The sequence below is a fragment of the Homo sapiens genome, chromosome 1 (assembly GCF_000001405.40).
Source record: "Homo sapiens chromosome 1, GRCh38.p14 Primary Assembly".
In the NCBI taxonomy this organism is placed as follows: domain Eukaryota; kingdom Metazoa; phylum Chordata; class Mammalia; order Primates; family Hominidae; genus Homo; species Homo sapiens.
The window spans coordinates 15,287,161-15,312,335 of record NC_000001.11 but is presented as its reverse complement, the minus strand read 5'-3'; the positions used below and the strand labels follow the sequence as shown (position 1 = coordinate 15,312,335).

Below are 25,175 nucleotides of genomic sequence, written 5' to 3'. Positions count from 1 at the left end.
TACAGAGTTGTATAAAGAACATAGTAGAGTGGCTAACACATAGTGTTTATTCCCTGCCACCCACAAGTATATGTGGTAGCCAGCTTGCAAAATGGCCCCCATGATCCCTGCCTGTTAGAATACCTGGCCTCGTGTAGCCCCCTCCCACCTGAATAGGGCTGACGTGTGTAACTCATATGGCACTGTGGAAGTGGTGAATGTGACTTCCCAGGGTGAATCATCAAAGATGTTGTGGTTTCTTCTTTGCTCTCCTTGGATCACTCAGTCTGGGGAAAGCCAACCGCCATGTTGTGAGGACACTCAAGCAGCCCTAGGGAAGGACACACATGGTGAGGAACTGAGGCCTCCAGCCAACAGCCATGTGAGCGAGTCATTCCAGAAGGGGATCCTCGAGCCCTAGTCGGGCTTTAGATGACATGACAGCAGTAGCTCCTGCAACCTCGTGAGAGACCCTGAGCCAGACTAAGTCACTCCCAAGTTCCTGAACCACAGAAACCGGGTAAGATAAACATATTTGTTGCTTTTTTGGGATAACTTATGTGACAGCAGATAGTCAATATATTATTGTATTATCACATTGAGAAAAAGTGAGAAGAAGGGTGCATAATGCAGTGGTATTGGGTTATCTCATACGGTCCTTTTCTTAGAAAAACATTCATCCTAGTTTTATTGGTGGGTATCAATCAAGAATCAATCTTTATTGCACAATCAAGGATGTGTAATAAAGAACAACATGATTCAGAATTTCATTGTAAAAATGAGCTTCGTCCGGGGACACAGTTAAGTTCCTTAGAAACAGACTGCTCTCTCTGGGGCTTGCCTGCATGCTTTGTGAGGCGGGACCAGAGTGACCTTTTCTCTAGAATGAATTTGGCTTGAGTCTCTACCAGGTGCCCTGTGTAGTGCAAGGTTGCCCCATTCTGGATGGTGGGAAAGTGAGCTACTCTCAGGCCTACGTGGGCTTCGAGATGGTTCCCTCTGCTCCTCCTGGGTGGTTCCTTCCCTGCCCACATGCACGTGCTCATCACACCTGACTCTGCTGAAGACTTGAGGCGGACCCTCTGAGATCTCCGGGGTGCTCTCCGTGCAGCCCCCTCCCGCCTGGCACGCCACCCAGCAAACTCAAGCTGTGCTGGCTTCTCCACCTCCATCTCCTCAAGTCGGGCTGACCACTGGGCTCTGTCTGGCTTCCCCTCCCTGCTGTGGTCTGGAAACTCTCTCCAGCGCAAGCCAGCCGGGGGCAATCGTAGATTTCATCTTGTTTGTTTCCACTCCCTCCCAGATCATCGTCACATGCTTCTTGGGGCCAATAGATGGAAACCATTATTTCAGACATTTTTTTCTGTTTGTTTGGTTTTTGTTTGTTTGTTTGAGTTGTTTCAGGCAGGTGAGGAAATCCGCACCTTGTTCCTCCATCTGCCTCTCTTCCTGTGGAAGATGGGGTTTGTGATGTGTTGTGATGGCTTCTGTGAGCCTGGGTCACTGTGTGGCCACAATGACCAAAGCCCCTACTGACCCATGATGGGCTCAGGGTGGAAGCAGGAGCTGAACCTGTCTATTGTGAGCCACTGAGACTTGGGGGACTGTTTGTCACTGCAGCGTAACCCGGCCCAGTGCTTCTCGAGCTTAAGTGTGCACAAGCAGCAGCCGGGAGGCTTGTGAAAATGAAGATTCTGATCGGAAGGTCAGGAGTGGGGCCTGAAATTCCCAGTTTCTCACAAGGATCCAGGTGATGCTGATGCTGCTGGTCCAGGGACCACACTTGGGGCCGTGAGAGTGTAGCCCATCCCAGGCCATACCTGAGCCCAGGTCTGTCTGACTCCTTGATTAGAGGAGTGGTGTCTGAGACAGGCTTGTAGCGTGGATGGGGTGTGATGGACAGACGCTGGGGAGGAGGGCAGGGCCCAGCGAGATCCCCCTGGGATGCCTGGTGCCCAGAGCAGCCCTGCCCATAGGGCTCACAAGTATCCAAGAACATTCCATGTTAGGGAAGAACAGAGGTAGAAGCCTGGAGTGGGGAGGGGGACTGCAGAGTGAGGCAGAGGGAAAGCCACGGCCAGGCGGCCTGGGTCCTGCGGAGACAGCGATTGTGTCTGACTCAATGCTACGCTCTGCTTTCACAGCCACGGGCATGTTTCCTGCTGTGCAGGGGGGACTTTAGGAGCAATATGCCCAATCTGGACTCATTCCCTCTCCACCACCTGCTTTTCTCTCTTCCCCCTTTCTCTGTCCATGGCCCTATCATCTGCAGGTCTCGAGACATGCCATTCTCTGCCTTAAAAACCCTAACGTGTCCCATCACACTTAGAAGAAAACCTGAACCCCTCCCATGTAATGTGGCCCTGCCTCCCCCCTGACCCCACCAGGTCCCATAGCCCCTTGTTCCCTGACTCCAGCCACACTCGCCGGCAGTTGATCCAACACCGTGGCTTGGTCCAGCCTCGGGGCCTTTGCACCTGTGCTCTCTGCCCAGCATACCGTTCCCAGGGGCCTCCCGACAGCCCCTCCCACCTCCTCAGAGATATCCCTGCCCAGGCACTAAGCCAGGGATGTCCAATCTTTTGGCTTCCCTGAGCCACACTGGAAGAAGAAGAAGGGTCTTGGGCCACGCATAAAATACACTCACGCTAATAATAACTGATGAGCTAAAAAAAAAAATCGCTAAAAAAAAAAAATCTCATAATGTTTTAGGAAAGTTGAGGAATTTGTGTCGAGCCTCATTCAAAGCTGTCCTGGGCCATATGTGGCCCGCAGGTCGTGGGCTGGACAAGCTTGCACTAAGCTATTCTCCTTCACTTCACCCCCTGAGTGCTTCCCCACCACGGTGTCCAGCTTTATTTCCTCTGGAGCACTGATCTCTCTCTGGTATGGGCTTGTTCATTTATCTTTTTACTTCTTATTGTCTGTCATCCTCTCCCAAGTGTGAGCCCCATGAGCAGAGGGGCAGAGGGATCTTGACTGCTCAGGGCTCTCTCTCCCCAGTGCCTAGAACAGTGCCTGGCATCTAGCAGCTGCTCCATAAATGTGCTGAATGAATGAATGAATGAATGAATCCAGGCTAAGAAACAGCTGTGCCTGGCAAGGGTGGGCCATGAGTTGGCTGCCCCCTTGCCCACCCAAGTTCTTGAGTATCCAGCTACCTCTCAATTAGCAAAATGCTTTCGCTCCGGCCCAAGAGCACCAGTGTGAGATGGGTAAGAGGCTGGGTGCCTTAAACTGGCAACCCCATTTTAGCCACATTCTAGTTTGCATTCACAGCAAACTGGCTCATGGGACTGCCTGAGCTGCAGCTTGTCCTGTGTGTTCCCTGGTGAGGTCCATGCTCAGCAGGCCTTTTAGCTAACAGATAACATTTGCTCAAATATTTATCAAGGGCTCACTCCAAACCAGGCCCTATGCTAGGAACTGGATGGCACATAAACCTCTGAGGGTGAACTCAGATTCATGGACAGGAACTGCCTAAAGGGCTGCTGGGAAGAACTCTGAGGCTGCAGCCAAGTTCAGTAACAAAAAGTATGTGGTTGATTGGTGATGTCTGCTGTGGCCAAGAACAACGGGTGCGGGAGTGGCAGCTCCCAGGCCCGACTCCAAGGGCTCACCTGATGTGATAGCGTTGTCTCTCTTTAAGTTCTCGCCCTCATTCTTCAGGGATGTGATTTCTGAGTTCCGCTCTGACAGGGTCTGGCACAGCACCTTGCTGTAGCCTTTCTGTAGGGCACTGATCTGTGGGAGGAGGTGGCACAGTCAGAGGGGGGCTGGCCCACGTCTGGGAGACACACAGGTACTTCTCACAAGCTTGACAGAAAGATTCAGATTGAGTTTTGGCTGGGGTGTTGGGGAAACCAAGCTTTTTAGTTTTAACCAGTGGAAGGGACAGGGGAGGGCCTGTTCCTTCAAGGACCACCACTTCCTATGTCATCAAAACATGAACCTTATCTTTGTGCCCATAAAGGGGCCCAGGCCTGGCTGCCACTGGGGACACCTGGTTTCTTAATGTGCCTTCTGATGACCTTTGGACTCTCAGCCATAAACAGATCACCTGTTGGTTCCAGGTCGCCCAGTACTGACTGGATACAGAGCAAAGTTCAAGAGAGGGAAGCATGTTATAAAATTAATTCCCTCAAATGATAACAATAGGTTATATCTCACAGAACACTCTAGAACCTACAAAGCCCACTCACAGACACTACTCCTTCAACAGAGCCTCATGGCCTCTCCACAGAAGGCTCCTGGGAATGCTCCCGTATTAGTCTGTTTTCACGCTGTGATAAAGACATACCCGAGACTGGGAAGAAAAAGAGGTTTAGGCCGGGCGCAGTGGCTCACGCCTGTAATCCCAGCACTTTGGGAGGCTGAGGCGGGTGGATCATGAGGTCAGGAGATCAAGACCATCTTGGCTAACACGGTGAAACCCTGTCTCTACTAAAAATACAAAAAATTAGCTGGGTGTGGTGGCGGGCACCTGTAGTCCCAGCTACTCGGGAGGCTGAGGCAGGAGAATGGTGTGAACCCGGGAGGCAGAGCTTGCAGTGAGCCGAGATCGTGCCACTGCACTACAACCTGGGTGACAGAGTGAGACTCCGTCTCCAAAAAAAAAAAAAGAGAAAGAGGTTTAATTGGAATTACAGTTTCACTGGCTGGGGAGGCCTCAGAATCATGGCAGCGGCAAGAGAAAATGACGAAAAAGCAAAAGTGGAAACCCCTGATAAACCCATCAGATCTTGTGAGACTTATTCCCTGTAACTAGAACAGCATGAGAAAGACCAGCCCCCATGATTCAATTACCTCTCCCTGTGTCCCTCTCACAATGTGTGGGAACTCTGGGAGATACAATTCAAGTTGAGATTTGGTGGAGACACAGCCAAACCATATCATTCTGCCCCTGGCCCCTCCAAATCTCATGTCCTCACATTTCAAAACCAACCATGCCTTCCCAATAGTCCCCCAAAGTCTTAACTCATTTCAGCATTAACCCAAAAGTCAAAGTCTCATCTGAGACAAGGCAAGTCCTTCCCGCCTATGAGCCTGTAAAATCAAAAGCAAGCTAGTTACTTCCTAGGTACAATGGGGGTACAGGTATTGGGTAAATACAGCCATTCCAAATGGGAGAAATTGGCCAAAACAAAGGGGTTACAGGGCCCATGAAAGTCTGAAATCCAGCAGGGCAGTCAAACTTTAAAGCTCCAAAATGATCTTTTGACTCCAGGTCTCACATCCAGATTACGCTGATGCAAGAGGTAGGTTCCCATGGTCTTGGGCAGCTCCATCCCTGTGGCTTTGCAGGGTACAACCTCTCTCCCAGCTGCTTTCATGGGCTGGCGTTGAGTGTCTGCGGCTTTTCCAGGAGTACGATTCAAGCCATTGGTGGATCTACCATTCTGGGGTCTGGAGGACGGGGGCCCTCTTCTCACAGCTCCACTAGGCAATGCCCCAGTAGGGACTCTGTGTGGGGGCTCTGACCCCACATTTCCCTTCCACACTGCCCTAGCAAAGGTTCTCCATGAGGGCCCCGACCCCACAGCAAACTTCTGCATGGGCATCCAGGCATTTCCACACATCTTCTGAAATCTAAGCAGAGGTTCCCAAACCTCAATTCTTGACTTCTGTGCACCTGCAGGCTCAACACCATGTGGAAGCTGCAAAAGCTTGGGGCTTCCACCCTCTGAAGCCACAGCCCAAGCTCTATGTTGGCCCCTTTTAGCCATGGTTGGAGTGGGTGGGATATAGGGCACCAAGTCCCTAGGCTGCACACAGCATGGGGACCCCGGGCCTGGCCCACAAAACCACTTTTTCCTCCTGGGCCTCTGGGCCTGTGATGGGAGGGGCTGCTGTGAAGGTCTCTGACATGTCCTGGAGACATTTTCCCCATGGCCTTGGGGATTAACATTAGTCTCCTTGGTACTTATGCAAATTTCTGCAGCTGGCTTGAATTTCTCCCCCAGAAAATGGGTTTTTCTTTTCTACTCCATCATCAGGCTGCAAATTTTCTGAATTTATGCTGTTTCCCTTTTAAAATGGAATGCTTTTAACAGCACCCAAGTCACCTTTTGAATGCTTTGCTGCTTAGAAATTTCTTCTGCTGGATACACTAAATTATCTCTCTCAAGTTCAAAGTTCCACAAATCTTTAGGGCAGGGGCAAAATGCCACCATTCTCTTTGCTAAAACATAACAAGAGTCACCTTTGCTCCAGTTCCCAACAAGTTCCTCATCTCCATCGGAGACCACCTCAGCCTGGGCCTTATTATCCATATCGCTATCAGGCTTTTTGTCAAAGCCATTCAGCAAGTCTCTAGAAAGTTCCAAACTTTCCCACATTTTCCTCTCTTCTTCTGAGCCCTCCAAACTGTTCCAACTTCTGCCTGTTACTCAGTTCCAAAGTTGCTTCCACATTTTCAGGTATCTTTTCAGCAATGCCCCACTCTATTGGTACCAATTTACTGTATTAGTCTGTTTTCACACTGCTGATAAAGCCATACCCGATACTGGGAAGAAAAAGAGATTTAATTGGACTTACAGTTCCACATGGCCGGGGAGGCCTCAGAATCATGGTGGGAGGCGAAAAGCACTTCTTACATGGCGGCGGCAAGAGAAAATGCGGAAGAAGCAAAAGCGGAAACCCCTGATAAAACCATCAGATCTCATGAGACTTATTCACTATAACGAGAACAGCACAGGAAATACTGGCCCCCATGATTCAATTACCTCCTGCTGGGTCCCTCCCACAACATGTGGGATTTCTGGGATACAATTCAAGTTGAGATTTGGTGGGGATGCAGTCAAACCACATCAGCTCCCATTTTGCAAGTGAGGAAATCAAGACTCAGAGGGGTGAGGTTGCTTGCTTGGGATTGCACGGATCAGTCGGTGGTAGAGTTACGATCCAAATCCAGGCTTTAGTTGCCTGCTTCCAGTTCTTTCCACGTGGCTCTAGGAACCAGCATTAACAGCCTGAGGCCGTGGAGCATGGTAGGGACTCAGGAGCCAGACTGCCATCTGCAAAATCCGTCTCTGTGTGAAGGTAGGGAGGACACCAATTCTGTCCCATTTTTTTATTCTGTAAGTGTGGTGACAGTCGTAATTTCAGGGTTGTTGAAAGCATTTTCATAAGTTAGTACATGTAAGAGTACATAGACCATGCCTGGCTCCCCACATAGACACTAGCTCTGATTATTCTACGGTGCGTTTTAGCTTCTGCTTCTCTTGCCTGTCTCCAGGAAGGTAGACTGATAGTATTTTTGTGTGCATTTGTAAGCCTTGCCTAGGCTCACTTAAACACCAGTGTGATTGTTATTAAGAGGAGTGCAAGAATCCCTGTTAATCATCTCATCGTGTTGCAGGCATATCATAAGATATGACAGGGTGGGAGTCGGGGGGGACCCCGACAATGCAGATACGGTGTGCCCTGCACCTGGCCACCAGGTGGCGCTCACAGTCTGTTTTTAGTGTCTGTCCCTGAAAACCTTGTGGCTATGACTCGGTGGTAGAATTAACAGAAGGATCAAGGTTTCACAATTTCTACGGCCCATTTCGTGCACCAGTCACATCTTCCCTGGGGCATCTGAGACACTGGAGAAGGGGTGCTCACTAGAAGATGGAGGGACATGGGCTGCAATGTCCCAACCCTCTCCAAGGCCATACTTGCGCAGGTCTCCACTTCGGAAACTTGGAGTGAAAAAAATTATTTCACCTCTTCCTGTTTTCTGTGGGGACATGCAACTCTCCCATAAAAAGGCACTTGGAATTTTTTTTTAAAAAAGTTACAGCTCTTCTCAGCTTAATGCTTTTGTTTGTATACCAGAGGCACAACACAGAGAGAAACTTCCAGAAGGGATGGGAAAATACATCCCCCAGACTCCAGTGCTGTCTGACAGATAGGAAATGTTTCAATCTAAGTACCAGAGCTTTAGGATATCAGACTGTGGGAAAACTCCAAGTAGTCTTCAAACATCTTCATCAATTTCATGACCAAAATAAATATCCATATTGTCTATAATTGGCATAAATCCCCAGGTGTTAGTGCCTATTACACTGTGTAATAAAATGGGCACTGGGTCATAAGAAAGTTAATAGTGCTAGGAAGACTGATTGCTTTAAGATACTAATTCAGCTTCTAATTAGCACAGGCAGTGCAGGCCGCATGGCGGTACGCATTGTCTTGGGGTATTGTATCAGATCGAAGGGCTTTGAGAGCAAATCGTTATGCACACACTTTCAGGAGACCCAGGAGAATAAAGTAATCAGAACAATAAATCAACCTGCCATGTGGCTTGTACGTCTGCTTGAATGTTCTGTTGGCAATAGAATATTTAAGAGACTAAAATGTGAGCAGATGAAACTTGATTTGGATTCAGACCAACTGCATCCTTTAGCTCAGAGATGCTTTGTTATAAAGTATCATCTTTCAATTATGAGCCAAGATCAAAGTGGGGGGAGGAGTATTAATAAGTCAGAGTAATTCTTTCTTTCTTTCTTTTTTTTTTTTTTTGAGACAGAGTCTCACTCTGTTGCCCAGGCTAAAGTGTGGTGGCATGATCTCTGCTCATTACAACCTCTACCTCCCAAGTTCAAGTGATTCTCCTGCCTCAGCCTCCCAAGTAGCTGGGATTACAGGCACGCACCATCACGCTTGGCTAACTTTTGTATTTTTAGTAGAGACGGGTTTCGCCATGTTGGCCAGGCTGGTCTCGAACTCCTGACCTCAGGTGATCCGCCTGCCTTGGCCTCCCAAAGTGCTGGGATTACAGGCGTGAGCCACCACGCCCGGCTACAGAGTAATTATTTATAGATAATTTCACGGTGAAAGATAAATTTCCAGATAATGTGAGCACTTTAAACAATACCCAAAATGTGGACACAGACTCAAAGAGATGTGACAGTTACTCATCCTTAACCTTGTATCTGGACAAGACACTTCACTTAGTGCAGGAAAGCTCTGAAATGGGAGAGTTACTGAAAAAGATGGAGATCTGGTTGCAAAACTGGGTTCAGATGAGAAGAGAAAGAGGCTCCTCAAGGAGTTAGAGACATGTCCAGGCAGCTGTCTGCAGCAGTATTTCCTATAGGACCAGCTCCTTTCATTGCTCTTTCAAAAACAGGTCTGAAGGAGGGTCACTGCCTCAATATTAGGGCATATATTTGTCTGTTTTGTTGTCTACTCTGTCCCCCTCATTGGAACACAACTGTAAGAAGACAAGGATCAGGTCAACCTTGTTCTCTGCCGAATTCCCAGAGCGCAAAAGAGGGCCTGGCACTGGGTAGTCACTCAACAAACGTTTGAATGAACGAATGAGTGGATGAATGAATGAATGAACAGACACTGTCCTATTCTGGAAGGTAACTAGGCCCAGCCCTTGCCCTTGTGGAGTTTATAGTCCCGGAAAGACTCTTCGAGGTTCACCATGTCTAACCTAGGCTTTTTCCAGGGCTGAAACTGTGCACCCTGAACTGGGTACAGAAGGCAGAGGCCAAAAGCAGTGAATCGGCGAACAGAGGCCCCAGGCATGTCCACAGTTTAACCAGCATGATGCACTGAGGGTGAAATTCACCAGTGGCCCATTACTCTTTTAACAACTTTGTTGACTGATATACAATATCACTGACCACTTTTTTTTTTTTTGAGACGGAGTCTCGCTCTGTCGCCCAGGCTGAGTGCAGTGGTGCTATCTTGGCTCACTGCAAGCTCTGCCTCCCAGGTTCATGCCATTCTACTGCCTCCCGAGTAGCTGGGACTACAGGCGCCCGCCACCACACCTGGCTAATTTTTTGTATTTTTAGTAGAGACGGGGTTTCACTGTGTTAGCCAGGATGGTCTTGATCTCCTGACCTTGTGATCTGCCTGCCTCAGCCTCCCGAAGCGCTGGGATTACAGGCGTGCGCCACCGCGCCCAGCCATCACTGACCAATCTTAAAGTAAAAAAAAAAAGAATTTGAATCAAGTTTCAAGAGAAACGTACATGACTGGTAAATTCAGAAATTCCAGGTGAAGAATTTTTGTTTGATGAAATTCCCTATAAGTGAACCAGTAACTAACTGCCTTCAGGGTTTGGTAAAGGCCTCTGTGTTTGGAACACCGGGCAGTTCCTTCTCCCCACTTAGCTAACTTCCCATAGCTCTCTCTGGCTGGGGCTGGATTTGGGTGAGACGCGGTTACTGAAGTGACAGCATTGTGGGGAAATAGGAAATCGAGGTGAGAACATGGGGTCTGCGAGAAGGCGGACCTGAGTTCAAATTGCACTGCCACCTCTCACGTGCTGTGCAAGCTGTAAGCAGTTCCTGGGTGTCTCTGGGCCTGTCTTAGACTTTTTTCTTTCTTTCTTTTTGAGACAGGGTCTCACTCTGTCACCCAGGCTGGAGTGCAGTGGCGCCATCTCAGTTCTCTGCAACCTCTGCCTCCCAGGTTCAGCCTCGGCCTCCCAAGTAGTTGGGATTACAGGCATGCACCATCACGCCTGGCTAATTTTTGTATTTTTAATAGAGACAGGGTTTCACCATATTGGCCAGGCTGGTCTCAAACTCCTGACCTCAAGTGATCTGCCTGCCTCAGCCTCCCAAAGTGCCAGATTACAGGTGTGAGCCACAGCGCCCGGCCTGGGCCTGCCTTAGACCCTTCATCTGTAGAATGGATGTGTCAGAGGATTGTGAGGTTTAAATAAGTTAATCTAAAGCGCTTTGCACTAGTTCTTGCACATGGCCAGTGCTGAACAAAGGCTGATCTTGTTCTTACCATGCTAGGAAACTGCCGAATCTCCCAGTCTTGTGGATTTGTGTTCTTAACCACCATGCTCCACTGACCACGCGTTCCCTAACTCTGGGTGGCTCACCTTGGTTGGTGGTCCTGGGGCCTCCCGGGCCTTGGCCTGAGAGCTGTGCTGTACCTCTCAGGCTCTGCCTACCTGGCTTTTCAAGCTCTGGATCTCTTTCTGTTTGGCATCGATGTCTTCATCCAGAACCTGACACTTCTGCGAGATCTCCTTCTCATTCTGCCTGGAGGTGGTGGTCTCTGACACCTTCTGACTCAGCTCAGCCACTTCATTCTGCAGGTTTGCTATTATGACGTCTTTGTATTTGGATTCAATTTCATAATCTGAGAGACGGCTGACCTCTTTTCCCAGCAGCAGAATTATTTCATCCTGGGTAGAGATCAGATGGGAGGCTTACTAGGTGTGGGCCTAGGTGTGAGGCTGAGCCCATTAAAAAAAAGTAGGGGCCGGGTGCGGTGGCTCACGCCTGTAATCCTAGCACTATGGGAGGCCAAGATGGGTGGATCGCCTGAGGTCAGGAGTTCGAGACCAGCCTGGCCAACATGGTGAAACCCTGTCTCTACTAAAAATACAAAAATTAGCTGGGTGTGGTGGCAAGCGCCTGTAATCCCAGCTACTTGGGAGGCTGAGGCAGGAGAATCGCTTGAACCCGGGAGGCAGAGGTTGCAGTGAGCCCAGACCATGCCATTGCACTCTAGCCTGGGCAACAAGAGCAAAACTGTCTCAAAAAAAGGTAGGAAAATTATAGTGTAATTATTTTGGGAAAGTAAGGGCAGGCAGGCAGGGAAAAGGCAGACTTTGAGGCTCTCTGTCACTTGGCAACTCATAGAGACAAGAGTTTGGTTAAAATGATTACTTGCATACAGACTTCTATAAGTCATGTGTATACCTTAGAGCGACAGAAACTTTCCTTTCCCCTAAAATTATACTTTCATATTAAGAACCACCATCCCACTTGGGAATTTTTGTTGCCAAAAAGTTTATTTATAATATTTTTAGGAATCAACTTACCAGGCCTCAGTCTAACATCTGGGGACGAAGGAAAGGTAATTAAGGAAATGACTCTATTCAACCACATTCTGACTATAATGGGGCTATTTAACTTTACAAATTTAATACATTCTGAAATAGCTTTTCCCCTTTCCTCTCTTCTGTTATTCCCTGGCTCTTTTGGTTATTCACATAAAAATTTATTCCAGGTAACTGAGTCATGAAAAATAAATGAGAGGGGAATGGTGATTTATGTATATAGGCTCTTGTAAATTTCAGGCTGGAAAAAACTTTGGGCTTGGCAGGCTGTACCCACAGGTATCATTAACCCAGTCCCCCATCTCTCCAAAAGAAAAAGCACCGTAGCCGAAGAATTTGTTAGGTTTCCCAAAAAAGGGGGAAAAAATCCCCCAAACTTCTCACCAGAACGCATCAATAAAATATCAGGAAGATTGAGAACAAAAATTCCCCGATGTGATTCATAGGCAGCTACAGAGTTCCTGATCAGTTACTTTGAGAGGAAACTGCTCTCCATGCAATTTTCCACTGGTGGGAAGGAAGCGGGTGGGCAGTTTCTAGGCCAGCTCATTGCCTGGAGAGCTCGACCTTCTAGCTTGCTAACCTGGGGAACCACAGGGTTTTGGTCATGATGGAGCCCAACTGCTGACCAGGGTCTGTCATTGGGTCCCTGTGAGTGCTTGTGGCAACATTTCAAAGGACAGCCTCAAACAGAGTCCATGCTCTGGGGCAGCCCTTTGCCTTATCCAATATGAGTTACCCGAGGGCTCCATTTCCAGCCAGGTGTTTGTTCAATATCCACACAACAAACATGTATTGAGCATCTACTGTGTGCCACGCTTGTGCTGGGCACTGAAGTACAGAGAAGCCTGCAGCTTATGGTGCACAGCTATGGTTCCTGCCTTTCTGGTGGGGACCCTGTGACTTCCTTGAGGGAGCACCCCTGACCCTTCCACACGGTCTTGGTAGGAGGGTCAGTTATGTGCCCTGATCCTTCCTGTCCCACCTGCCTTCCTGTCCCACCTGCAATTGACCCAGCCTGGTCAATTGGCATTTTCTCAGAGATTTCATGTATTACTTAAAAGAGGAAGAAGCTCTTGCTTCCTTTTGGATCATAAACTTTAAACTTACAGACTTCAGTTTGTCTACAGTCATGTTTTCCAACATAAGAAGCCAGCCTGCTGCAAAAGCAAAACTATGAGGGAAACAGTGGAGAAACTGATAGCGGGGGAGGGGAAGCTGATCATTCAAGCTCCTGGATCCAGTCATGCCTGAAGCTGGTTGGCTTTTACATTTTCCAATAAGATAAGACAATAAATGCTTTCTTTCTTTCTTTTTTTTTTTTTCCTTTTTTTTTTTTTTTTTTGAGACAGGGTCTTGCTCTGTCACCCAGGCTGGAGCACAGTGGTGCAATCACAGCTCACTGCAGCCTTGATCCCCTGGGCTCAAGTGATGCTCCCACCTCAGCCTCCCTAGTAGCTGGGGCTATAGGCAAGTTCCACTATGGGTGGCTCGTTTTTTTGTTGTTGTTGTTTGTTTTTTGTTTTTGTTTTTTTTTTTGCAGAAATCGAGTCTTACTATGTTGCCCAGGCTGGGCTTGAACTCCTGGGCTCAAGTGATCCTCCTGCTTGGCCTCCCAAAGTGCTGGGATTACAGGCGCGAGCCACTGAGCACAGCCTATTTTTTCTTAAATCAATTTGTTTATTGTCACTTGCACTTGAAGGAGTCCTGACAAGTCAGGGCATAAATATTTCATAAATAGTAAAAATTTAGAAACGTGGTTGGATCCTATTTCCAGCTTAACAACTGTGGTGGATTAAAAATGGCTACAAATAACTTTGCAGCTTCTGCCATCAAGCAGTGGAGTCTATTTTCCCCAGCCCCTAAATCTAGGCTGGCCCTGTGATCTGCTTTGACCAAGAAAAAGTGATAGACATGATATTGGGTGGTCTCCAAGCAAGTTCTTAAGAGGCTGTACAGCTTCTGTCCTGGCCCTCTGGAAACCCAGAGGCCACTGCACTGCTATGAAGAAGCCCAGGATGAAAAACTATGTGCAGAGAGGGCTCAAATTCCAAGTGTCCTTTAGTGGTGATTTTTAGTGGTGAGATTTTGGTACACCTATCACCTAGGCAGTATACACTGCATCATATTTGTAGACTTTTATCCCTTGCCCTGCTCCCACTCTTCTCCCTAAATCCCCAAAGTCTACTGCATCACTCTTATGCCTTTGCGTCCTCATAGCTTAGCTCCCACATATCAGTGAGAACATACGATGTTTGGTTTTCCATTCCTGAGTTACTTCACTTAGGATAATAGTTTCCAGTCTCATCCAGGTCATTGCAAATGCTGTAAATTCATTCCTTTTTATGGCTGCATAGTATTCCATTGAATATATATACCACAGTTTCTTTATCCACTCGTTGATTGATGGGCATTTGGATTGGTTCCATGATTTTGCAATTGTGAATTGTGCTGCTATTAACAGGCATGTGCAAGTATCTTTTTTGAATAATGACTGTTTTTCCTCTGGGTAGATACCCAGTGGTGGGATTGCCGGATCAAATGGTGGCTCTGTTTTTAGTTCTTTAAGGCATCTCCATGCTGTTTTCCATATTGGCTGTACTAGTTTACTCATGTAACCAAATACCACCTATACCGCAATAACTTATGGAAAAATTAAAAAAAAGAAAACTAATAAAAACTCTATAAAAACTTAAAAAAATAAATCTGTGGGAAGAAACTAAAAAAAAATAACAAACAAGCAAAAAAACTAATTCCAGGTGTCCCAACCGAGGTCCCAGACATGGGAATGAGGACTTCTGAGACCATCAGCCCCTGCCACGCCACCGGCTGACTGCAGTTGCATGAGTGAGGCAGAAGACACCAGCAGGAGAACCTTCCAAGGCAACCCATAGAATTGTGGGAAATAAATTGCTGTTTTAAGCCACTAAGTTTTGGGCTGGCTTGTTTACAGCAGTGGGTAACTGACAGAGCATCCAAACCTGACTTCCCACCTTACTCACCATTGCTGCAGATTCCTGGACATGTCACTCCCGTGTGTGACAAGAGCTCCAGGTGGTTCTGCTCCTTACAGACTCTGAGAATGGCTGCAAGGTCAGGCCCTGATCTTTAGGGGAAGCAAGGCATTGTGGATCATTGCTTTTAGTATTAGGTTGGTGCAAAAGTAGTCGATTATCATATAATTTTCAGGTTGTGGCTAAGTGAGGCAAAATCAACCTGGATCCATCCTTCCCAAGTTTGCTTCAATTTATCTGTTCTGACCTCTCTTCCTGTCTCACTCCCTAAACCTCTCTGGTTCTTTAACAAGTCTTTCTCATTTGCTTAGTCATCTCTGACCTCAGCTCTCACTTCCTCCCACTAGGGAAGTTAACCAGACCTGGGTGTGAATCTCAATTCTGCCCCTTTTACTGTGCAACCTTGGGCAAGTTACTTAAACTCTCTGAGCTCCGGTTTCCTCATTGTTAAGTGATGGTGATTTAAAAAACCTATTTTGAAGACAGCAAAGATTAAATGAGTGAATGAATGTTAAGTGCACAGGACACAGTCCAGCTCACAGTAGATGCTTAATAAACAGTGGTTGCGGAGGTCGTAATTTAGAATAAAACATTTGGTTGAATGTCTTGGGGAGTAAGAGGTGGTTTCTTGGAAGCAGGATAAGGGCACTCCTGGGCCACACAGAACAGGCATCGGCAAGTCCCTTTGCAGTGCGCTTGCTGCTGCAGCTCCACCCTTCCCCAGACCCCTCCCTCACCTTGTCCTGCTGGGCCAAGTCCTCCTCCACATAAATCTCCGCAGGGGGAACTGCCCCAGGAATCCCCTCGGCCACTGATTTTTCTGACAGTTTCATGGCATTGGTCCACACTAAGGCGTGAGATCAGCAGAGAGCACAAAAGACATCATGAGTTTCCCTGAGGCCTGAAGAAGATGTTCACGTTAGCCTTCCTGTTTGTTTCCCCCCAGAGATTGATATTTTATGTAATTTAAAAATTAAAGGCCGGGCGCTGTGGCTCACGCCTGTAATCCCAGCACTTTGGGAGGCCAAGGCAGGCGGATCATGCAGTCAGAAGATTGAGACCATCCTGGCTAACATGGTGAAACCCCATCTCTACTAAAAATACAAAAAATTAGCCAGGTGTGGTGGCGGGCGCCTATAGTCCCAGCTACTCGGGAGGCTGAGGCAGGAGAATGGCGTGAACCTGGGAGGCGGAGCTTGCAGTGAGCCGAGATTGCGCCACTGCACTCCAGCCTGGGTGACAGAGCGAGACTCTGTCTCAAAAAAAAAAAAAAAAAAAATTACAAAGTGGTGTGTGTGTTCACTGAAAAGCAGTGAAAGCATCACGGAAGTACTAGAAAGGGAAAGGGCCACCTCCTTCCTTCTTCCTTTGATAACTGCTGTTACCCAACGTGATGTGTCTCTTTCCAGACCTTTTTCCTATGCCACAGAAGAGCTGGTGATCTTGGGCAGATCGTTTAATCTCTCGGGCAGGTCATTTAATCTCTTTCAGCCTTAGTTTCCACACATATCATTTAGGGGCATGAATAGTCTCTATCATAAAGGGCTACTGTGAAGAGTAAACGAAACGTTAGGTAGAGCAGGGACTGGCAAACTACAGCCCTGGGGCTGAATCCAGCCTATGACTGAAAGTACAGTTTTACTGGAATGTGGCCACAGTTATTCACATATGTATCATCTATGGCTGCTTCTGTGCCACAAACACAGAGTTGAGTAGTTGCAACACAGACTGTATGGCCCTCGAAGCCTTATTTATGTCTGGTTCTGTGATATTGGGATTTATAACAAGAAATAGATACAGCTGGCCCCCCATATGTGTGGGTTCCACATTTGTGGAGTCAACCAACTGTGGATTGAAAATATATATGTATGAGTATGTGTGTATATATATATATATGTTTAGAGAGAGAGACACACACACAGACAGACAGGGTCTCGCTCTGTCACCCAGGCTAGAGTGCAGTAGCATGATCATGGATCACTGCAGCCTTGACCTCCTGGGCTCAATTGATCTTCCCACTTCAGGCTCCCAAGTAGTTGTGACTACAGGTGCATGCTACCGTGCTTGGCTAATTTTTAATTTTTTGTAGAGACAGGATCTTGCTATGTTATCCAAGTTGGTCTCAAACCTCTAAGCTTAAGTGATCCTCCTGTCTCAGCCTCCCAAAGTGCTGGGATTACAGATGGGAGCCACTATGCCTGGCCAAAAATACTTCTTAAAAACCCAATAAAAAATAACAATACAACAATAAAAATACAGCATAACAACTAGTGACATGACATTCATATCATATTTTGTAAGTGAGGGAACTGAGGCACCGGGATGTCAAGTACTTGCTGAAGGTCCCACAGCTGGTGAGTGATAGAGTCAAGATTTGAACTCAAGTTTGCCTGATCCAGAGCCTGTACTCATAACCATTATGCAGTAAATATATTGACCTTCATGATGCAGTGTTACGTTTTAAAAAGTAGGATACCAGTGTTAGGGTCAAACAATCTCATCATTATTCCATTACTTACAGTATATATAAATCAGGATGGTATCTTTAAAAATCACCCCACGCATTTCCATTCTCCATTCTAATTCTTCCTCCCTCACCTGTATGAGCTTTGCCATTAAGATTCGGCCTTAGAGCTGCGGCCTTACTGCCTGTTCGAGGAGAAGGGCGAGCACCACCAAGACGGGGGCCTTGACCAGGGCGATTCTGCCCCTCAGGTGACATTTGGTAACATCTGGGGACAATTTTGAGTATCACAGCTTGAGTGGGAGAGAACTGCTGAGAGCATCGAGTGGGTAGAAGCCAGGGATGTTGCTAAACACTCAACAATGCACAGGCCGGGCCAGGCCTGGTGGCTCACACCTGTAATCCCAGCACTTTGGGAGGCCGAGGCAGGCAGATCACTTAAGGACAGGAGTTCGAGACCAGCCTGGCCAACATGGCGAAACTCCAACTCTACTAAAAATACAAAAATTAGCCAGGTGTGGTGGCAGGCGCCTGAATCCTAGCTACTTGGGAGGCTGAGGCAGGAGAATCGCTTGAACCCGGGAGGTAGAGGTTGCAGTGAGCCAAGATTGCACCACTGCACTCCAGCCTGGGTTACAGAGTGAGCCTCTGTCTCAAAAACAATGCACGGGACAGCCCCACAACAAACAATTATCTGGCCCCAAATGTCAGCAGTGCCGAGATTGAGAAACCCTGACCTAGAATAAGTAAGTCCTTGGCTTTGCGTTTCCAAATAGAATTTTTCAAATCGAAAGCAAAGCAATGGTCTAAAGGCAAAACCATTTTGTTTGAAGAGTCCAGCCTTGTTAAGAGAGGAAAGGGCTTCCTCAGATTCCTCAAAACTCGGTGCTTTCAATGGAGAGCCAACCTGGAGGCCTGGAGCCGGAAGTGTTCTCCTAAGCCTGGAGCAGAGAGGCCCGGGTCTGACACAGGGGAACTCCTCACTACAGGAAGATGGAAGCCCCTCTCCGCATCAGGGAAACACGGTGGAAGTTTGGGAGCGGACATCATGGTGCCTTCCCCACCCAGATGACACCCCGGTGGGAGGCTGCAGTGGTGACGCCCAGGCAGATCTGAGGGCCTCAAAGCCTTAGGACCGTTCATGGCTCACTCACTTCCCAAGTTCAACATGGCACTGGAGAAACAGGTGGAGAAATCTACTCATCAAAGACTGAGTGAAAAAAGAAAGAAACAGCATCTGTGTCTACCAATGGACGAATGGATAAAGAAATCTGTGATACATCCATGGAATGTGACTCAATGATAACAAGGAACAACTTGTTTTTGTTTTTTTGTTTGTTGGTTTTTTGAGGTAGAATCTTGCTCTGTCCGCCCAGGCTGGAGTGCAGTGGCACAATCTCAGCTCACTGCAACCTCTGCCTCCCGGGTTCAAGCGATTCTCCTGCCTCAGCCTCCTGAGTAGCTGGGATTACAGGTGCGTGCCACCACACCCAGCTAATTTTTGTATTTTTAGTAGAGATGGGGTTTCACCATGTTAGTCAGGCTGGTCTCAGACTCCCGACCTTGTGATTCGCCCTCCTTGGCCTCCCAAAGTGCTGAGATTACAGGCATGAGCCACCGCGCCTGGCCACAAGGAACAACTTGTAAGACATACAGCAAAATGGATGAATCTCAGAAATATGCAGAGTGAAAAAAGCCTCACATGAAAAACATACACTACATGATTCCATGTATTTGAGAATCTAGAACAGGAGTCTCTAATCCATGGTGGAAAAAGAATTTGGAAGAGTGGTTACCTCTGGGGGCAAGGGTTGGGAACTGACTTGGAAGGGACCTGAGGGAGCTTCCTGGGATGATGGTGATGTTCTTGACAGGGGTTTGGGTTACACAAGTGTATACAATTGTCAAAACGTAGTGAGTGTTCACTCAAGATCTGTGCATTTCATTGAGTGGCAGCCAGTCTCCAAGATGACCCTGGTGATTCTTGTCCCTGTATTCATGCCCCTATATAGTCATCTCCCATGCTGGATGAAGCTTGTATTAATATGCTCAGGTTGCCATAACAAAATACCACAGACTAGGGGGCTCAATAACAGAAATTAATTTTACTTTATTAAATGTTTAATTCTTTCTTTTAAAAATAGAGATGGGGTCTTGCTGTGTTTCCCCAGCTGGTCTTGAACTCCTATCTTCAAGGGATCCTCCTGCCTCAGCCTCCCAAACTGCTGGGATTACAGGGGTGAGCCACTGCACCAATTTATTTTTTCAAGTTTTAGAGGTTGAAAGATCAAGGTGTTGGCCGGGTGGCTTCTCCTGAGGCCTCTCTTCTTGGCTTGCAGACGGCCACCTTCTCACTGTGTCCTCACATGGTCTTTCCTCTGGTGTTGCTTGTGTCCTAATCACCTCCTCTCACAAGGACAACAGTCAGATTGGATTAGGGCCCAACCTAACTACCTCATTTTAACTTAATTACCTCTTTAAAGGCGGGTGGATCACCTGAGGTCAGGAGGTTGAGACCAGCCTGGCTAACATGGTGAAAACTCGTCTCTACTAAAAACACAAAAAATTAGCTGGGCGTGGTGGCGGGCGCCTGTAGTCCCAGCTACTCGGGAGGCTGAGGCAGGAGAATGGTGTGAACCTGGGAGGTGGAGCTTGCTGTAAGCCGAGATCGTGCCACTGCACTCCAGCCTGGGCGACAGAGCGAGACTCCGTCTCAAAAAGACAAAACAAAACAAAAAAAACCCCACAAAAATTAGCCAGGCCTGGTGGTGGGTGCCTGTAATCCCAGCTACTCAGGAGGCTGAGGCAGGAGAATCACTTGAACCTGGGAGGCAGAGGTTTTAATGAGTCGAGATCATGCCACTGCACTCCAGCCTGGGAGACAGAGTGAGACTCAGTTTCTAAAAGAAAGAAAAAAAGAAAAGAAAAGAAGGAAGGAAGAAAGAAAGGCACTCTCTCAATACAGTTAGGTTCTGTGGTACTGGGGATTAGGACTTCAACATATAAATTTTGAGAGAACACAATTCAGCCATAACAGAGCTTATCTATGTAACCAAGGCTACTGGAGAAATGATGGAGTTTGACTCCTGAGGCTGGATCTTAAGAGACATGTGGCTGCTGCTTTTCTCTCTAGGACCACTCTTTTGGAGGAAGCTGGCAGCCATTTCATGAGGAGACTCAAGCAGCCTAGGAGAGGTGGCAGTGGTGAAGAACTGAGGCTTCCTGCTGTCAGCTAGTGAGGAACTGAGGCCTCTTCACACACGGATGTGAGTGAACTACCCAGGAGATGTGTCCTCCAGCCCCAGGCCTTCAGAGGACCGCAGCTCTCGTCAAAAGCTTAATGCAACCTCCTGAGAGTCCCTGAACTACAGCCATCCTGCTAAGCTACTCCCAAATGCCTGACCCCCAGAAACTGTGTAAGATAACGCATAGGGTTTTGGTTTGTTTTAGGGTGCTATATGTTAGGGTAATTGGTTATAAATTGGTAACTAATACACACCGTATGTTAATTTTACACAAAAAGACAAAAACTGTTGAACTCCAGTTAATGGTATACGTGCTAAATGTTTAGGGGGAAGTCTACAGCTGTAGGAAACTTATTTTAAAATGTATCTAAAATTAAGATGAATTAATGAATTCACAAAATGATTGATAGAGAGATATACAATAAGAGTATAGCAAAATGGGCCAGGCGTGGTTGGCTCACACCTGTAATCCCAGCACTTTGGAGGCCAAGGTGGGCAGATCACTTGAGGTCAGGAGTTTGAGACCAGCCTGGCCAACATGGCAAAACCTCGTCTCTACTGAAAATACAAAAATTAGCTGAACATGGTGGTGTGTGCCTGTAATCCCAGCTACTTGGGAGGCTGAGGCAGGAGAACCGCTTGAACCCAGAAGGTGAACTCCAGCTTGGGCAATAGAGTGAGACTCTGTCTCAAGAAAAAAAAAAAAAAAAAAGAGTATAGTAAAATGTTAATGGTAGATTTAGGTGGGGAGGGGGTCACTGTAAAATTATTTTTACTTTGCTGTATGTTTAAAAAATGTTCATATTAAGGCTGGGCGCAGTGGCTCATGTCTGTAATCCCAGCACTTTGGGAGGCCGAGGTGGGCGGATCACAAGGTCAGGAGATCAAGACCATCCTGGCTAACATGGTGAAACCCCATCTCTACTAAAAATACAAAAACAAAAAATTAGCCGGGTATAGTGGCAGGAGCCTGTAGTCCCAGCTACTCGGGAGGCTGAGGCAGGAGAATGGCGTGAACCCAGAAGGCGGAGCTTGCAGTGCGCTGAGATGGCACCACTGCCGAAATCCTGCCACTGCACTCCAGCCTGGGCAACAGAGGGAGACTCCGTCCAAAAAAAAAAAAAAAAGTTCATATTAAAATGTTGGGGGAAAATGGCTGAGTCATTTCTCAGTGTGGGTGGTAGGTATGTGGTGGTGCATTTGATGATGACGGTGATGATGATGTAAACCGTGGAGACACATGGCCTTTACTCTTCAGCTTGCGTATGTCACAGTAATAATGATTTTAGTGACTGAGGAAGGTGACTACATGAATGGTCTTGAGCAAGACCGGAAAAAGATATGGAAGCCGCTGGGAGATGTCTGGGGACTCCGAAGGGCCTGGGGCTGGGACAAAGAGGACAGAAAATGGGACCTTGATGCCATAGGCTAGGGAGGAACTCTGGGAACCATGCCTGGGGACTAAACTGACCAGCTCTTCTGCTGGTGAGGCTGCTGAGGCCAAGAGGACAGTGACAGATGGGAAGTTTCCTCCCCAAGTGCCATGAGGCTTTCAAGGGGGTAGTGGGGAAGGAAGGACACCCTGAAGGTTGTGTGTGTCCCAGAGTGACCAGGTTGTGAGTGGGCTGTCACCGAGCTCACCAGCCTTTAAATGGGACTGAAAAACATTAGATTAGACGGGACTGAATACACTTCCTCGGGAGAAGTCATCTTCCTGGTAAGTGTCACTCTCCTCTGACCTGTAAAATGGTGGTAAAATATTTTAAAAGCTCCTAGGGCTGTTGGGGGCAAAGGGGATTGCAATTACTAATATTTTTGCACAACTGAGTCAAAGTGTGTTGACGTGATCCCATGACACACTCATATGTACACACACACAGAGGCCACACCCACTGCAGGTGCCCTGGTGTGTGTATACGGACACAGCACAGAGGCTGGAGGGATACGCAGCAGAGAGTCAATAGGGAGACCCTGGGGATAAGGATTACGGCTGATTTTTTAACTGTTTTCTTACTTTCTGCTTATCCTGAATTTATTTTCATTTTTTACAATTGAATATGTTCTACTTTTAGAATCAGAAAGTAAACCAAAACCAAGACCCATCCACATGGCCGTGAACCACCCCCAAGCCACCAATGGCAGCCCTGACGCATACCTTGCTTGATGACGGGTGGCTTGCGGGCGTCGTCCACCACGAACGAGAACATCTCCTTGTTGGCGCTCACAGGCCGCCTGTGGGAGGCCGGCAGGACCACGGTGGGTCTGGGAAAGGCCTGGGACCAGCTCCTTTGCATCGGTGCTGGCTGGACACCTTGGTGGAAGGGGATATGTGATGGTGGGGGGGCCTGGTTTGGCTGCTGTGTGGCACGAGGTGGCTGTGGCCCTGGCCATGGTGCTGGGCCCCTCATCCATGGGAAAGAGACCTGCAGGGGCAGACAAGGGTCAGGGGAGGTTATGACCGGCTGGGATGGTCTCCATTTCTTTGTCCCAGCCACAGCATTGCTGCCCAAGGTCTTGGTTTATGAGTCACTTCCGGTCGGGCAGGGTGGCACACAGCTATAATCCCAACACTTTGGGAGGCCAAAGTGGGAGGCTAGCTAGCTTGAGTTCAGGAGTTCAAGACCAGCCTGGACAACATGGCAAAACCCTGCCTCACCAAAAATTCAAAAATTAGCTGGGCCTTGTGGCCTATGCCTGTAGTCCCAGCTACTTGAGAGGCTGAGGTGGGAGGATCACCTGAGCCTAGGAAGTAGAGGCTGCAGTGAGCTGTGATAGCACCACTGCACTCCATCCTGGGCGACAGAATGAGACTCTGTCTCAAAAATAAACAAACAAAAAAACAATGAGTCACTTCCCCCAGGAAGCCTTCCTGGACTCTCCTCAAGTTTGGGATGGGGGTCCTTGCCTGGACCACACGGCACACGATCACACCACCATTGAGTGAGTGCATGCTTTACCCAGGCATCTTGCCGAAAGAGTCACCTGCATTAACTCATTTAATACACTCAACACTCTGTGATATCAACACTCGGAGGACACAGGCCAGGCAAGAACAAGGGACTCTGAACACCCACAGACGTGGTATTGATCTGCTGAGTCAGGAGAATGTCCCCTCTAAGGGATTAGGGACTTTTCATCTACCTTACCACTGTATCCTCAGCCCCTAGAATAAATGCTTGGCACATACCTAGTAGGTCCTCAAATGTTGGTCAAAATAACAGAACAAGCCAATCACTGAGATTCCAGCCCAGCTCCCTGGGACTCCACAGCCTTTTCTCTTTCTGTCCATACTGTGGGTCCCTCTATCCCTCAAAGTTCAGAGCTCTGGGATTGCAGGGACACTGACTGTCTGATTAGCCTTTGCTTTTCCACACCAGCACAGCTGATTCTGGCAGAGGCCCCGGGGAAGATGCTCCAGCTGCTTTCAGTGGAGAGCATGTCAAAATCCATCTAACCGTGGATGAGCAAACGTGGAGTGGTGCTGACACCTGGCTTTTGCCGTGGATTAATGCTTTAGTGGTGGTTTCTCCCTGGTGCCTAGTGGTTGAAGGTGGCACTGATGAGCACTATCACTTATTGCACCGAGCTTATTGATTCCTCACCATGACCCTTTGTGTGAGGGTTCTCCTTATTCCTGTTAGAAGTGAGGCTTGGAGAGGTTAAGGGATTTACCCAGCACAGGCAGTGGTGGACAGGGAACTGGGATCAAGATCTGATGGCCTCTCCTTCTTCTCTCTCTCTCTCTTTCCCCTCCTCTGTCTCCCAATTGTCTTGGCAGAAATAATGCTTTCCAGGTAAGAGCTAAATTCAAAGGTTTGCTTCCTAGAATAGAACTCATCCCTATTTTCCCAGGGCTCATGGTTCTCCTTCTGTAGCCCAGAGAGAAGATGAGCTCAGACACACACAATGAGGAAAAGGACAGAATGCTTCCAAAATCAGAGCTCCAGCAGACAGCACTTCCTAGAACTTCAGCTGGGTTTCATTGAAAAGGAGGGCTCTCCACTCAGGATCCTAATCTCCAAGCTGCAGTCTGTCTACAGCTGCTCAGGGATCCTATGCATTCCCCCTAAGGCTCTTTCTTGGAGTCAGTGAGGAGTGTTCTGGGAAATCTGGCACCAAACTCCGATCACCTGGTGATACATGGTTTGGCTGTGCCCCACCCAAATCTCATCTTGAACTGTAGTTCCCAAAATCCCCTTAGGACGGACTGGGAGGGACCTGGTGGGAGGTAATGGAATCATGGGGGCAGTTACCTCCATGCTGCTCTCGTGATAATGAGTGACTTCTTGTAAGATCTGATGGTTTTATAATGGGCTTTCCCCACCCCCTTGCTCTGCACTTCTCCTTGCTGCCGCCATGTGAGGAAGGACACGTTTGCTTCCCCTTCTGCCATGATTGTAAGTTTCCTGAGGCCTCCCCAGCCCTGGGGAACTGTGAGTCAATTAAACCTGTTCGTTTTTAAATTACACAGTCTCTGGTATGTCCTTATAGCAGTGTGAGAATGGACTAATACATCTGGGGACACCTGGCCAGGCATTCAAATGACACTGGCCCACTTGAAGTCTGTTTTCAGGAGTGGGTCTGGGCCGAGTTCCAGAACTCTGTTACCTTACGTGTAGTTTCCCATTTCTCTCCACTGTCAACATCTCAGCCTCTCCACC

At 47.9% G+C, this 25,175-nt stretch overlaps 1 protein-coding gene and 1 long non-coding RNA gene across 43 annotated transcripts in view, besides 2 other annotated features; one reads left to right on the top strand and one right to left on the bottom strand.

Moving 5' to 3' along the window:
* The window catches only part of FHAD1 (forkhead associated phosphopeptide binding domain 1), a 166,490-nt gene that overhangs the window by 90,675 nt on the left and 50,640 nt on the right, over nt 1-25,175 (bottom strand). For 39 of the 42 annotated variants that reach the window (XM_047443734.1, XM_017000198.3, XM_017000199.3 and 36 more), the window contains 4 exons: nt 22,670-22,937; nt 15,543-15,652; nt 10,895-11,131; nt 3,600-3,723 (listed from right to left, as the gene is read on the bottom strand). In XM_047443734.1, the coding sequence (XP_047299690.1) occupies nt 3,600-3,723; nt 10,895-11,131; nt 15,543-15,652; nt 22,670-22,937 (739 nt within the window). Of the gene's footprint in view, nt 1-3,599; nt 3,724-6,516; nt 6,600-10,894; nt 11,132-15,542; nt 15,707-22,669; nt 22,938-25,175 lie in introns of those variants that run through there. The other 3 variants (XM_011540595.2, XM_017000207.3, XM_047443835.1) reach the window with 3 other exon arrangements.
* Nucleotides 6,267-7,466: an enhancer, noted in NCBI's record as "CDK7 strongly-dependent group 2 enhancer chr1:15631366-15632565 (GRCh37/hg19 assembly coordinates)". NCBI's record gives its function as "activates an origin of replication core promoter dependent on BRD2, BRD4, P300/CBP, MED14 and CDK7 cofactors, with strong dependence on CDK7, by STARR-seq in HCT116 cells {active_cell/tissue: HCT116}" and the evidence as "EXISTENCE:reporter gene assay evidence [ECO:0000049][PMID:35650434]".
* LOC124903853 (uncharacterized) lies at nt 20,403-24,980 on the top strand. The gene is made up of 2 exons (XR_007065482.1): nt 20,403-20,685; nt 22,587-24,980. It is a non-coding gene; the product is annotated as an uncharacterized LOC124903853 (long non-coding RNA).
* Nucleotides 22,238-23,437: an enhancer, noted in NCBI's record as "P300/CBP strongly-dependent group 1 enhancer chr1:15615395-15616594 (GRCh37/hg19 assembly coordinates)". NCBI's record gives its function as "activates an origin of replication core promoter dependent on BRD2, BRD4, P300/CBP, MED14 and CDK7 cofactors, with strong dependence on P300/CBP, by STARR-seq in HCT116 cells {active_cell/tissue: HCT116}" and the evidence as "EXISTENCE:reporter gene assay evidence [ECO:0000049][PMID:35650434]".